Source organism: Homo sapiens, chromosome 15, assembly GCF_000001405.40.
Source record: "Homo sapiens chromosome 15, GRCh38.p14 Primary Assembly".
NCBI lineage: Eukaryota > Metazoa > Chordata > Mammalia > Primates > Hominidae > Homo > Homo sapiens.
Window position 1 is genome coordinate 87,913,149 of NC_000015.10, and position 15,834 is coordinate 87,928,982.

The 15,834-nt window shown below is 41.7% G+C and overlaps 1 protein-coding gene across 18 annotated transcripts in view; it reads right to left on the reverse strand.

Moving 5' to 3' along the window:
* Window positions 1–15,834, reverse strand: part of NTRK3 (neurotrophic receptor tyrosine kinase 3) — a 396,989-nt gene that overhangs the window by 53,398 nt on the left and 327,757 nt on the right. For 2 of the 18 annotated variants that reach the window (XM_006720545.5, NM_001320135.2), the window contains exon 16: window positions 3,114–3,412. The exons of 15 other annotated variants lie outside the window; for them this stretch is intronic. In XM_006720545.5, the coding sequence (XP_006720608.1) occupies window positions 3,398–3,412 (15 nt within the window). In that variant the 3' untranslated portion in view covers window positions 3,114–3,397. Of the gene's footprint in view, window positions 1–3,113; window positions 3,413–3,879; window positions 12,517–15,834 lie in introns of those variants that run through there. One more of the 18 variants, XM_017022242.3, reaches the window with a different exon arrangement.

The following is a 15,834-nucleotide window of genomic DNA, read 5'->3' on the forward strand; positions in this document are numbered from 1 at the left end:
ATCCAACTATTTAGTTGAAATGTGAGGGAAAGGCCAGTAGAAGAGAATTCAGAATTTGGGGATGCTAGTCTCATTTATGTGATGGGGAAATTAGCCCCAGTAAAGCAGATCCGCCTGGCAAACCCCTTTCTCTGAATATGATCCTTCAACACAGGTGCACTCAATAAACTCAATATCTATGTCACATTAGAATCCCTCCACTTGTGTGAATCCAAGGTTAGAGCATGCCTAACAGGGTCCAGCAGAATCCCTGAATTGAGAGCACTGCTCAGGATGACATGTGTCAGAACAGGACACAAGTGCCACCAATCCTCTTTTCTACTTTCATGGCAGATGTCACCAGCTGATCACCACTTTTTCACTGATCCTAGATGCAACCACCAAATTCTTCTCATCACTCCACTCTGGGCAATCACCAGTCAATCAGAACAGGCACTTGAAATCTATTAATATGTACCCTCCCTGGGGCATGTAATACTAGGTATCAAGGCAATAAGATTTGCAAGCAACAAAAGGACTCATTTTTAGGTGTGAAAGCAATTCAGTGACATGGGAAGCATTAGGGGCTGTAATAAAGTGGCTCCCAAACATTTGAAAATGAAGAAAATACAATTGGCCTCTTTACGATCAGCAGAAAATGAATGAAAACATGGATGTATATCCAAGGTTGTCTGAAAAATCTTGAGTGGCTCTTAGGCTATCATGGCTGCATTGTGCCCTGATTGATACAGATGAAGAAATAATGTATCTCTCAGATGGGGCACTGGCTGATCCTGGAGGCCTGGGAAAGAATGAGCCTTGGAACTGGATGGTGGAGATGTTCATCCCTTCCTGGCTCTGGACAAGGGAGAGAGGAGGATTTAGGCAAAAGACATGGAGTATTTCTGAACCTGCTGAGAAGCCAGGAACCCTGTTGTTAGGCTTTCTTAGCTGGATGTCGTTGATTATTTGACTCTTCTAACATCCTTGCCCTGATTTCTTCCTCTTTAAGCAACTTTCACATTATGATCCAGCTTCCCACATGGACTAGCTCACTGAGAACAAATGCTTTGATGCTATGGCCTTTGAATAATGTGATTCTCTGTGTGCAATAATAAATTTCCTTTTGGTGCTAACTCCATTCTTATGGGTATTTTAATTATTGTGAGACCTTCTCCAGTCCTCTGCACTGATAAGCAGATGTCAGATGTCAGGGCCATTGGCAGGGAATCAGATCCAGCTGGCTTTCCCTTGGTGATACCAGTGCATCTTTCAAATACGCATACTCAGAGTCCCCACATACTGACCACTGGTGCCCAGTGAGTGGGAACCAATGAGGATTCATGTAAGAAGATTTAGGCAAGTGGGGACATTACTCTTTTCCCATTACAAACATCTAATATAGTATTATGTATTTTTTAATTAAGTAACTTTTATTAAGCATTTTTAATGTAGAAATCACTGTGCTAAACGTGGGTGAGCTCCTTTGCCTTCAAGGGAACTTATGCTTTATTGAGGTATGGAACAAACATGTACCCAAGTGTCTCAGGATGTGAAAAAATAAATACAAAGATCAGGAAGTTGGGGATTGACCCACTGGGTAAGGAAATGACCAACTACAAGAACAAACCGGGCTGCAAATCAAAGTTCCAAGCTGGCTGAAGAGGCTGGAAAGCATGACTCAATGGAGGAAGGCAACCAAGATTGTCGTGATGATTGGCAGAGTTGGAGAGCTGGAGTACAGACCACCACCTACCAGTCAACTTTGGAACATTGATGGATTCAATTTATTTTTCCAGGGTGTACATGGTTATTTACTAAGCACAGACTATAATGGTGATAACAGCGGTGGCTATGGTGTTGGTGATGGTGTTGGTGGTGTTGGTAATGATGTTGGTGATGGTGGCGTTGGTGATGGTGATGATGGTGATGGTGGTGGTGGTGATGGTGTTGGTGATGATGCTGGTGATGGGGGTGGTGATGGTGGTGGTGGTGGTGACAAAACCACCAGCACTCAAACCAACAGTTTACAAAGAACTTGCACATCCATTATGCATATGCATATACACTTGCATATTTCATGCTATGCATAATAATAAGCAGTAACCATCATATAGCCAATGAAAGGAGAAAGGAGGTAGAGCTGGACTTAAGCCAGTCTTTTCTCTATCCCCAAGGCTCCAGGACAGGTGCATCACCCTAAGCTCTCCCTCTGGGATGATGAGGGACAGCACACACTAAGGACATCTGGAGAAGGAGGTTTTAATTCTGAAGACCTTTGTCTACTGCAGAATTCATGGTCCACAGTTACAAAAATTAGCTCCTGGTTGTAGCTACTAACTCCACAATAGAAAAGCTCTTCCTGCAGATGCCTAAAAGTGTTTTCTCTTTCCTCCTGGGCTTCCAACAGATCAACTCAAATGTCTAAACCAGTCCTGGAGGAGTGGGTGGCTTTTTTTATTTTAAATTTCCCTAAATTCTCTTGAGTAGGTTCTTCTCCTCTCTAAATTTAGTATCCAGCAATAAAGATCCATCATAGGGAAAACCTTGGCTTGTAACTTAAAATGGTTTAAAATTTCTGATATATAATTTCTACCTTATTCTTTTACATAGAATAATAGCCATCTATTGGGTGCCTAATGGGTACTGGCAATTTGAATACTTATCTTATTTAATGTGCACAAAAGAAGAAATTGTTTTTTTTTCAGATGAGGAATCTAAGTCTTAGTGAATTTAAGTAAATTTCCTAAGGCCAAATAGCTCTCAGCAGAAGCTCAGTGATTCAATTGAATATCTGCCTGACTGCAATGTCAGTGGGTGCTCGGCCCATCTGCTCTTGGGCTATCAACTTTCCTACCTCCAACTTTGCTCTTTGGGATTAGCAAAGCCTAGAAAAAAACAACCGAGAGTAAAAACTGTGTTTGAAGTTCTGAATTTCAGATGCTTTGTATTGACCCAGTCTTCTGATTCCTCCTCCTCCTCCTCCTTCCGTTTAGACACTGACAGATCACAAAATCTTGGGCTATGAGGATTATGAGAGAAATACAATTCCCTACCAGGAGGAAGTCAAGGGAACACAACATTCTCTTTACTTGCAAATATCTTAATTACAGCTAGTAAAGAAGATATCTGTATGGAAATTTATGTATCTTTTTATGTTATATATTCAGTTTGTCTCAGGAAAAAAAAAAAAAAGGCCTTTTGCACTTGAGGAAGGAAAAGGAGATCCTGTTATGACACATCCGTAAGGGCCCTCCACAGGAGTAGAGAGACGTGAATGACTCAACACCAGATTCAATGGTCTCCTTCAGCCTTTTCCTCTCCTTTCCCGAGGACAGAATCCAATATAAGCATGCTTCAACGTCTCAGAATTTTCTTATGGGGCATCTTCCCCGTCTTTTTTCCCCAGTATCAGTCCTCATGCCTGCACAACCTTCAATGAGAGAAGAAAACAACTGGATTTCTAAACTGCAGAGAGAAGAGACTAAGTTTAGGAGATAACTAGAAACCACCCTCAGAAATAGGTTATTATTTTTTGGCAGGATTAGGGGGCTAAATATTTTTATTCCACTGGTTTCCCACCAGTCAAGATACAAACAATGCATAAAATATAACCAATTACCTATGAAAAGCACAAGGCTTTTTTTTTTTTTAGACAGAGTCTCACTCTATCACTCAGGGTGGAGTGCGGTGGTGTGATCTCGGCTCACTGCAACCTCTGCCTTCTGGGTTCAAGTGATTCTCCTGCCTCAGCCTCCCCAAGCATGTGGGACTACAGGTATGCACCACCATGCCCAGCTAATTTTTCATATTTTCAGTAGAGACAAGGTTTTGCCATGTTGGCCAAGCTGGTCTCGAGCTCCTAACCTCAAGTGATCCCCCCGCCTGGGCCACCCAAAGTGCTGGGATTACAGATACAAACCACCGCACCTGGCCACAGGGCCATTTTGGTCACATTGAGGTTCTTCTTAGTTTTTCTGAGTCTTATAATGTCTGTTTTATAACATAAACCACATTTATCTCCACTAAGGACATAGGATGAAACATACTTACCTTGTAGCAGGTAGGATTCTCGCTAGACACAACTGAGAACTTCCCACTTCTAAAGAATGTTAATAATTAGAAAGAAAAAGACAAATCTCTCACTGAAAATAGCTTCCCTCTCCCACAGCTGAAAGGAATAAGGAAGGAAACCTGTGGAATCCCAGAAGATGCACTGGAATAGAGTGAGCAAACCATCTGTCTGGGATGATTTTGATGCTATTCTGCCTGGTCCCTCAAGGGTGAAATAGATGACATTTAAGGCTCCTTCCAGCTATATATTTCTTTAAAATTGAATGATTTGGCATCTGCTCCGTTGTTTCTAACACTTTAAGGATGCAGAATGGACTTGGTGGCCTAAAAGATGCAATTTAAAAATCCATCCTGGTTTATTTAGGTATTTGTCACCTCCAAATCTCATGTGGAAATCTGATCCCCAGTGTTGGAGGTGGGGCCTGGTGAGAGGCGTTTGAATCATGGGGGTGGATCCCTGAGGGAATGGCCTGGTGCCATTCTCCAGGTAGTAAGTGAGTTATTCATCTTAGTTCCCATGAGATCTAGTCATTAAAGAGTCTGGCACCACTCCTTCCTCTCTCTCTTGCTCCCTCCCTCACCATGTGACACTCCTGCTCCTCCTTTGCCATGATTGGAAGCTTCCTGAGGTCCTTACCAGAAGCAGATGCTGGCACCATGCTTCTTGCACAGTCTTCAGAGATATGAGCCAATCAAATCTCTTTTCTTTATAAATTACATAGCCACAAGTGTTTTTTATAGCACCTCAAAATGGATGAAGACACATCCTGACCCTCCATTTCACTGTTTTTTTGTGTTTTTTTTTTGTTTTGTATTTGTTTGTTTGTTTTCATAGTTGCCCCTTACAAACTGCAAGTGGCTTTGAGCCTGTGGGACCAGCCAGTCTCCAGTTCGTAGTCCTGAGCCCATGGATTCTAATGGCTTCTCTTCCATACTCTATGGCTACCACTGTGGCACAGGATCTCACTGCCTCTTTCCTGGGCCAGTGCAATGGCCTGCCTTTATGGTCTTAGTTTCCAGCAATCTATCCCACATGCCACTGCCTTATGAATTGTCCTTACACATGACCTGATTCACACCTCAACAGATGACAAATCCTCTGTGACTGTCCATTGACTACCTAAGCCAAAATAGTTGGCCTTTCAAAAGCTGCCATGGTGGTCTTTCCTTTACCAACATTTCTTTCCATGCATCTTCCATAGATCCTTAGTTTCGGCCAGTTGAATCACACACCGTTCTAGATCATTCTTCTGGTTTCCTTACCTCCAAGCTTCCTCCATGACTTTGCTCATGCTAACCTCTCTGATGGAGATATCTTCCTAAAATTTAATCCAGACTGCCAACCAACCCCTCAAGACCCATGCCATTCCTCTACTTAGATAAGCTTTAGACATTCTTAACTGCCTTTTATACAATTTGCCTCCCTTTGGCTTATGATAGAGCAACACATTTTTATCTGTTCTTATATTCCCTATGAGATTTTTATTTCCTTGTGTTCTATTCATCTTAGCACATGGACAAGGAATTGAATTGAATCCCATCCCTCACACATGGATCTTGCGAATGGCTAGGGAATGTGGTATGAGGGTAGGAAATAAACCAACATGGACAGGGTTAGCAAATGTGCAAATGTGTTTGGAAACTAAGCATCTAATTTAACCTCATGAGAGGGAAGTGTTAACTAGAGTTGAGGTTAAGAACACTGATCTAAAGACAATGTCATCAAAGAAACCGAGTGACTGAACTGGGACTCAGTTCTTTCAGTCCCAGTCCAGGAAAAAAAGCAGTAAAGCCATGGATGTATCTAAAAAGGAAACTTGAGTACATCCCACAAACTCTCAACCTAGTTTCCATGCAGTGGCAGACAATAATGCTATTGGTGTGGCCAGTACTTGTGAAAAGATGAAAAGCCTCACACAGTGTAGAAGAAAGATGAGAAATGTCCACTTTACAAATGAGAAACTCAGGTCCTGGGCAAGAAAGGGATCTGTTCCATGTCAGGAGTCATGGCAGAGAGACTGAATCTAGGCTTCTTGGCTTCTACTCCTGCATTCTAGTTCCCACATTTGTCACTGGCTGCCAAGAGCCCAAAAACAAAAATGGGAGGGCACTTCCCAGGACTAATATCCTCAGGCCACTGCAGGGAGAATTCACAAAATAACTTCATCACTTCATTGTTAGAGCCCGGTTCTTTGCACCTCAACCTCCTGGTCATCATGCCCTCTCCACGTCATCTTCTCTCCAGATTGCCGGAGTGTCCCAGGGTGGAAAATACCAGATTCTTTTCTGTATTCAGTTCTATACTTTTCAGAATACCTGAGTTGCAGGTAGATGTCCCCAACATTACCACCATATTGAAATAAAGTATAAAATGCTCTAGAAAGGGTGGAGGTATAGGAGTGCAAAGATGATAGCAATAATTAGATAATCCTCATCCTTGGAAAAATACAAAGAAATTCTGTTCAGGTAATTCTTCTACCCACCAGGGTGAATCTTGGACAATTATCCTCAATATCTCAAAGAAGAAGAAGAGGGTGGAGCAGAAATTAAACTTCAGTCACTAAACTAGATCCAGGTAATGTAGAAGAGTCTGCTTCAAAACTGGAGTTTGTTTTTTTATTTTATCAGGAAGGAAAAAACGGGGCTGAGATGTGGAAGAGCTATGGTCTAGGGTCAAAGCAACAGTACAGACTGGTTAAGACAACTTTGACGTTATTATTCTACCTTTGGCCATGTCCCCCTCCTATCCTAAAAAAATCAAGTCTTCTTCTCACTTATTATTACACACAGAACTTAGTTCAACAGAAGGCAAAACCCCAAAGAGATCATATGGCTGGAATCCAAACTCCAGATTTTAGAGATGAAAGTGAAATCTCTGATTTGGAACCTGGACACAGAACTGACACTGAGACCAAGATGTCCTAAATCTCAGCCCTGTCCCTCAACAGACTTTTGTATTCCAAAGTGACTGATATTTTGTAGATAATTAGTGTGCAGATCCACTGGCTTTAATCAAGGAAATAAGGTTGTAATACTTATAATTAGCATAAATGTATCCCACACACCTCCTTCTGTGTTCATTCCCTCAGCAGCTCTGTACAACTTAATAGGTCTTAGCATTTAAGTTGTTTTTCAAAATTCACCTGAGATGTGCATATCACGACACCCAGTCCTACAGCAGATGCTCAGGTAACTAAAGCTCTGAGCCCCACTTGGAAGTCTCTCCAGTCTGTGGCCACGTCTCCTGATTAGCACAAAGCACCCTCTCCCAAAGCTGAAGAAGAGAACAAACGCATGGTTTAGGGCTGGGAATTTAAGAAGATCCCATACCTTCCTCTAGACTCCTAAACTCCAGCAGAGAACAGTAACTCCAGCCCTGTCCACTTGCTATATGAAGATGGCTGCCCCAGACTGCACAGTTCTAAAAGATTCTTGTAAGAATCTGGAGTTATAATTTGCTCACAAAATAGGGTTTCTCAGCACCTCTGGGACTGGTTTTGCAGGAGGGGGTCTTATAGCCCACCTATCTCTGTTGCAGAAAATTGAACCATGGAATCCTGGAGGCTCCTAAGGGTGCATCGAGGGCATAGGGTATCAAAGGAGAGACTGTGGGCAATGGGGGATCCATCCCCTCACCCCTGCTTTGACCACGGTAGTTCCACTGCCCTTAAGTAAGACTGGTTTGGTATCGCAGAGTGAATCCTGAGACAGTAAAATGTGCATTAGTGGAAAAGCTGGTAAAATCCAAACAAAGTCTGTAGTTTAGTTAATAATTTGTGTCACTGTTAATTTCTTATTTTTTGCCAAGGTACCCTGGTTCCATACGATGCCAACAGGAGGAAAAACTGAGTGAAGGATATATGGGAATTCTCTACACTATTTTTGCAACTTTTCTGTACATCTAAAATTACTCTCAAATAAAATTTTATTATAAAAATTTGGGAAAACCACTTCCTCGGGAATGGAATACAACGCTCCTCCATTGTTCTCCTCTATATAAATAGGACGATGGTTAAAGAATGATTACGATATTTCAAAAACAGCAAAGGAAGAATCAAACACAATAAACAGAGTCTGGTCACTGGACAACCAGTACAAGAACCTCATCTCCTGACAGCCAGCATCACTTCTTCATTGGTGCCTGGGTCTACTTAGGAGTACCTAATGGCTAAAACCAAAGGGACAAATCTGGATAAGCCCTCTCCAAACAGGGTCAGCATCCCTCAAGAACCAGTATGCCTAGCTGCTAATCCTTTATCACCAGTTAAGCTAGGGGTCAAGCCTCCCTACTCCTGGTCTCAGAGGAAGGAACTATATGATTCTGAGTGTAGCTGGCAACTGCTTGCCTATGTGGACATGAATAGACTTGTGATGGACCCCTTCCTCTTTGCACTGTTTCAGGCTTCCAACTACAGGGACACCTTATTGGAGTAACAGGTCTAATGCAGAGAGCTCTCCAGTCTTAATCTCACCTCTTGGGAGAAAAAGCTTGTCTGATTTTGGGGACTGCGCATGGGGCCACAACCCCTTCCCTTTTCTGATGAGTATCTTCTCCCTACAAAGAGGAGCAATGAGCAGCAAAACTTCTGCCTCTGCAGAGCAAAGTCTGCAATATTTCCAGGCTGCTATGACTGAGCTGGAATGCCTAATCTTGCTATAAAGATTAGGGGACTTGGTATTAAAAAAAAAAAAAACTATTGTTGCTGCACACTGAAATCACCATCAGTAAGAATTCTATCATTATTCAAGTGTACTTTATAATCTTCATCTGCCTGGCTTCTCAGCCTCAGTGGGCTCAAACACATCATCTGGGCAGAGAAGAGAGGTACCACTTATTAAATGAGATTCCCAAAGTTCCAACGAAGAGCAGAAAGCATGGTGGAACCCTGTGATCCTAAAAGTCAATTGCCTCAAATTACCATCATTAGCTTTTGTTTTTACCTTTAAAATTACCTAAAACCAAGTTATCTCACAGACCACTGGCTCTCTTCAGTACACTGCCAACCACTTGACTTTCATCTGAGAGTTTCTCCCGACTTGAAGGCAAGAACTCACTGGTCAAAAAGACTTAGAGGAGCCTCAGGCTCTCAGCTCTGGTGACTGAGTAATCAGTCAATGTTCTTGTTGATCATAAAACTGGAAGGCACCTTAGAGAGCATCTGATAAAGCCTCAGCTTTGCTGCACCTCAGGTCCTCCCATTAAACTAATGAGGGGGCTGCCCTCCAGAGCTCTCATATTGTTACAGTCCCTGGATCTCTGTCTTGTTCTCTCAGGACTGACATGCTGGGAAATTCATTTCAGTAAAGTCAATGGGCCATAAATATCTTTAGGATCCTCTTAAAAGCCCTGAACCTTCAAAAAACAAAAAATGAAATACAACACCCCACTCAATATTACTCATATAATTTTAGGAAGTCTTAGAGTTTCTGAAGCCCATCCTTTGACCTGCTGATGGAAAACAATACAGGCTTTTAGTCAAGGATGTAACCCTTCTTTAGAAAATACTGGACGGCTTCAGTTAGAATTTCGACATATTCTGGATTCCTCCTTTACTACCATGGATTTGGAATAGAAGTTGCTCTAATTTGTATTTCTTCCCTGTTTTTCTTCTAGATGTGTTTTCTTATCTATTAACTTACATTCCCTTTGATTTGGAACATTGTTTCTTTCCTCCACCCAATTCATAGGATGTAGTTTCTTGAATTTACTCTTCTGCTTTCCTGGAGGATGAATCAAAGCACCAAGATGGCAGGTGGGACCAAGCTCTTCCATTGCTTACAAAAGCATGGGACACCAAGAGTTTGCAAGGAGAATAGAAAAGGGGATCTTGCAAAATAACTCTCTCCACATTCAGAGTAGCAATACAAAGTAAGAATGGCTTGGCCTATCTTTCCTGATAAATCAGTGGATATGGGATGATTTCCTGCTGGGATGGAATGTGGAAAAACAATGTAGTTTTTCTTCATCCTTAACTCTGGCAGAGATTGCCAGCTATGAAGTACAATTCATGTTTTTTCTCTTCTATGTGGGACACAGCTATGTTCCATTTCTCAGCCACCTTTTTAAATAGGAAGGTCATATAACTGGGTTCTTGCCATGAAAGAAAGTGATTAGTCCCCACTTTCAGGCCAGGTCTATTAACAACATCCCACACACATTCCTTCATGCCAGTTTCTCCTTTTAGCTGGTTGGGACATAGATAGATGCCTAGCATGACCAAGGAAGGACCCCACACAAGGAAAAGGGTAGAGCTCCATGAGCCTGAATGATGGTGTAGCAGAGGACTACTCCTCCAGTGAATTCACCTACTCATACTGTTAGATGACCTAGAAATGAGCTTCTATTTGTGTTGGAACCATTATATATCTGAGTATCTATTTGATACAGCAGTTGGCCTACCTTAACTAATATATCTAGGTAAGCCTTGTCCATTTTGGAATTGGAGAAAGCATTCATATTTTAGCTCCAATAATTGCTAGGGTTTGAAAGTGTCCTCCAAAGATCCTCTGTTGAAAACTTAACCCCAATGCAACAGTGTTGAGAGGTGAGACCTCTAACAGGTGATTAATCATGAGAGCTCTGCTCTCATGAATGGATTAATGTTGTTATCATGAGAGTGGGTTTGTTATCACAAGAGCGGGTTTACTATAAAAGCAAGTTTGGCCCATTCTTGGTCTTTTGCCATGTGATGTCTTCTGCCATGTTATGACACAGCAAGAAGGCCCTCACCAGATGAGGCCCCTCGATCTTGAACTGCCTAGCCTCCAGAACCATAAGAAATAAATCTCTTTCTTTAATAAATTACCCATTCTGTGGTATTCTGTTGTAGCAACACAGAACAGACTAAGACAATAATTAATATTTATTATTTATCATCCTAAGAGCTTTATATTTCTTAACTCTTAGTCCTTACAGAAAATGCGTGTGATAGGGGATGTTGGCTCCATTTTACAGTTGAAGACACAGAAAGGGCAAGTAACTTGCCGAAGGTCATACAGTCAGGAATTATAGGAGCAGAGATCAAACCAAGGCAGTGTGGGTCCAAGAGCTTACAACTTTTCATCTGCTATGGGGACACCAAGACATCCATAAAATCAAATATTCTTCCAGTAAGGTTGGCTTGTTCTAAATGATTCCCACTTCCTAAGGATTACTGTTACTGTCTTTCTAGGAGTTTCTGGGAACCCTGACCCAGAATCTCCAGCTTAGAATCCAGTGCCTTACTACCTGCTGCCAGACCTGTTTATGACCCACACCTGTGTGTCATAAACACACAGGATTTTAGCATACTTACCCCATCATGTCCTAGACACTCTGTTCTGTCTCCTACCAGAACCTGAAGTGGGTCATCCTTGACTCAGACTATCACTCGTTTGCCTCTTCTGAACATTCTCCCAGGATAATGCACTGCTTGATTAGATAAGACTTGCTCCTGCTGCCTGCAGCTGCATTCCACATCATCTCCAAAGGCTCACCTCCCCTAAGTGAGCATCTGGTTATCTGTCTAGGTTTCTCTTGGTCTGGAATGACCTATTTCCTAATTCTAAATTCCCTTTCTGACTTCACTCATTCATACTTTTATTAGGTGCCTAACAAGTGCCAGGTACTGTCACACAGGACAGCACACAGGCACACAGGACAGCAGGATGAACAGAAAGGAACACTCCTGGAGCTCTACATTAGTAGGATCCCATTCCCCCCTCATTCCATTCCTCCCTGATCTCAGTGTATTGACTCCTCTCCCCAAATCAAAACATCTGAAAACATCTGTATTCTGAAATCTCAACCTTCTCCCCTTCAGGACATTCAAAACTTTAATACTAGATTTGACTATCAATCTCTTAGTGTTCTCTGATGTTCTTAGAAAGATATAATGGTACCCAAAGCCTACCCTTGTCAAAGCCAGTGTAAAGGTAATCTTGGAAGCATTGAGTCAGTGATTCACAGAAGGAAAAGGTGTTTGTCATTGTGAATGTCTTAAGAAGAGAGAACAAATCGCTCTGGTGTTCTGGTGTGGGAACATTTGTTTTCTCTCTCTAAATGTGTAACAGGAAATTAGGCAGTTCACCTTTGTAAATCGTCTGTATACCACTTATGTATGAGCCAGATGGTGCCTCTTCGTTTTAACAAATTAAAAATGAAAAAGAAAGACTATAAGGAGGAGTTTATCTCCATCTCTCCCCATGCCCTTATATGCACATTCTGGAATCTGCACTGGGCAGGCAAGCACACGTGTATGCACACACACACACACACACACACACACAGGCCTGGATTATCTGCACTTAGTGGTGTTAGGCATAAGAAGCCAACAAACTCTTAGGCCCAAATGAGTTCAGTAATCAGTGATAGCAGAGAGGTACAAACCTGTCCGGGGGTATCAGCTCATAGAGAGAATCCTTCACAGTATTCTCGCGATCTGACAAATCAGAGCATTCCTCCAAGGCCTTAGCCGATGTATACTGAACAAAAAAGTTTTACACAAATCACCCAAATGTGGACTTAGCTCTAGGATTCATGAGCAGTATTTCCATACATGTTGAAACCTTAAGAAAGACATTTTCCTGAGGTGGTCAATGTAAAGATTCTACTCCTTTGGAGCAGCTGCATGATCCAGTTTATCTTCTAGTGGTCACGGAGTCCCTCTCTCTGTCCCAGGAATTGCATATGGAAATAAAATTATCCACAGAGTTGTCTTGGCTTGGATGTGAGGGGGACTAGTAAGATAATATAAACAGGAGTTTATCCAGTAAGTATTGTACTACAAGCTCTTTATACAAATTAACTTGCTTAACATCAACACAACTCTGTTGAGTGAATATTTTTGTTCTCACTTTAACAATAGAAAAATTGAACAGAGGTTAGAGGAAAATGCATTCAGGTTACATGGTTGCTAATGGTGGTTGCACATTAGGATGTGAACACAGGTAAGATTAGGCCTAAATCCAAGAATTCCATTGTCATTCCAATGTCTTCCAATATGGATAATAAGACTTCAGGGTTCATTTTGATGTGACTTCAGGCAAATCTACTTCTGCCTTTCATTTTACAGAAAAGTAGGGAATGAGGAGTGGTGTATACATTAGGACACTGTGAGTAAGTGAACATGAAGATATGCCACAAGCTGGTCTTTAAATGTCTCATCAGTAGAATACACAGATTTCCAATGGTGTGCTGTGTATTTACTGTAAGAGTTATCCTTTTTTGTTCAAACTTCCTTGGGACCAAAAACATACATTTCGAGCTAGCTGGCCTTGGCTAACATCGCCCTTAGAACTCATGAAGAAGGAATTGAGGTTACCTGTAGTGTGTACATTTTCCCACCTCACTCTCCCTTCCTTAAATTCTAATCTACCCTGGCACCTACAGAAATTAGATAGATGTATTCCTTGTAGCCCTTTTAGGCATAAAGAGCAACAGTTCACAGTTATTAAGGCAAGGACAAAGAAATATCAATTGGGGATGTGATCTTTTTATTTTTTGTTTTTCCTCTTTTAAACTAGTTTCAATAAATATTAACAGCACATCTAGAAGCAAGTTTGAAGGGCCAGTTAGCACATTCTGGTCAGACATAGTTTCCTGAGACTCCAGTGAAGTCAGTAGTTATCAGCTTGGCATAATCAAACATCTGCCTTTCACAGAGAAAAACAATGAGCCATCCCTTGTTTTCATCAACACCTACATAGATCTGAGCACAGTCAGACAGACCAGCAAACCCCATTAAACAAAGTGGAAAGGCAATTAAATGATGCCAGCTCCAGCCCCACTCTAAGAAATCTATGACCCATCCCCCTCTTAGTAACCACACCAATGCCTCTCTTGGAAATGAATAAAAAATATGGTCTAGACACTAAAGAAAGACTCCTCTTTGATATTTTCTGGCAGGTCTGCCCTGGCCATCGGTCTATGACTACTGCCACATCATGTCTCCTTTTCCATACCTGGGAATACTGGATAGGACAGGTGGCTAGTGAGGCTACCCAGCTTGCTGTGGACACTGTATGCTTTGTCTTATATTCTCTCACAACGGTACATCATCTGCCATTCTTTGGTTGCACAACAAACAAGTCATTTTCTAACAACCAAGGTCATTTCTCAAACATTCCATTTTTCTCCAACCTATTGCTAAAATGAAGTATCTTGACTGATCTGTTTTAACGTCTGAGTGATCTCATTTAGGCCATCAGGAACATCAAGATAGAACTGACCTGCACACACCTCAAATTCCCAGCCTCTGGTCCACTATGCTCAGGTCAACAGGACAATCATATCTATTTGACTCACGGTATGATCACTCATTTCTCCAAAGATGAGACAATTGGCTGCCATGATCCTGGCAATACACTGAATGTTTGTGTACCCCCCAAATTCATATGTTGAAACAGCCCCAAGGTAATGGTGTTAGGACGTGAGGCCTTTGGGAAGTTACTAGGTTATGAGGGCAATGCATTCATATGGAAGAGATGCCAGAGAGATCTGTTAACCCTTCTGCCATATGGAGAAGACACAGCAAGCAGATGGCCATCTATAAATGAGGAAGCAGACCTTTACCAGACAATTAATTTGTTTGCACCTTGATCTTGGAATTCCCATCCTCCAGAACCATGAGAAATAAACTTCAGTTTTTTGTAACCTATCCCATCTGCGGTATTTGTTATAACAGCTGAAAAGGAATATGACATCCCTTGACCTCCAAAACATTGTCCCACACTCTCCTTATAATGTCTATCCAAACTCCTCTTTCCTTTGATGTCCCAAAAATAGATTTTTTGTTTTTTTGTTTTTTTGGTTTTTTTTGACAGAGTCTCGCTCTGTCGCCCAGGCTGGAGTGCAGTGGTGTGATCTTGGCTCACTGCAATCTCCACCTCCCAGGTTCAAGAAATTCTCCTGCTTCAACCTCCCGAGTAGCTGGGACTACAGGCACATGCCACCACACCCAGCTAATTTTTGTATTTTTTAGTACAGACAGGGTTTCAGCATGTTGGCTAGGCTGATCTTGAACTCCTGACCTCGTGATCCATCCACCTCAGCCTCCCAAAGTGCTGGGATTACAGGCATGAGCCACCACTCCCAGCCTTGGATCTTCTGTATTTTTTAGCAATCTGCCCTCACTCAGTTTGCAGAAGTTATCTCTGTGTCTCAGGTTGCACTCATACTTCCCCTTGCTGAGATAAGTGACACTCATGGCCATTCATCCTTTCCCTGGAAATAATAACACTATCAGAATCAGTCAATAATCCATGGAAAAAAAGATTCCCAAAGACTTAGGGAAAAAAAAAGATTCTAGGAGCAAAATAAGACTCTTGTTAATGTAAAGCAGATGACTATATGAAGGTAAAACTGAGCAGGATGGATCTTCTCACAATCAGAAAGCTTTTCTAAGATCTAACCTGTCCTCTCTCCAAAGTTGGCAACAGATAACATGCTTCCTTTCCTCATCTGTTCCAGCCCATTTGGATAATGCTCAGCAATATATTAGCCATCTTTGTTACTTTACTTAGGTTTCCTCTTCTCATCAAGATCTACTTTTGGAAACAAGATAATTCTTACATAATCACAAGATAATTTCAGAGAATAAAATGTGTCATGGGTGAGGCTAGATCTGGGACTGGGTAGGGAGACATTAAATGTAGTATCAAGTTGGGTGTGTCTGTGTGTGTGTTTGGGCACATACATATACATGTATGAGTATGTTTACATGAAGAATGAGTATTGAAGCACGTAAGAACACAATGCATATGTTATTGCAATGTACAGATTACAGTTCAGTTAAATGTCCA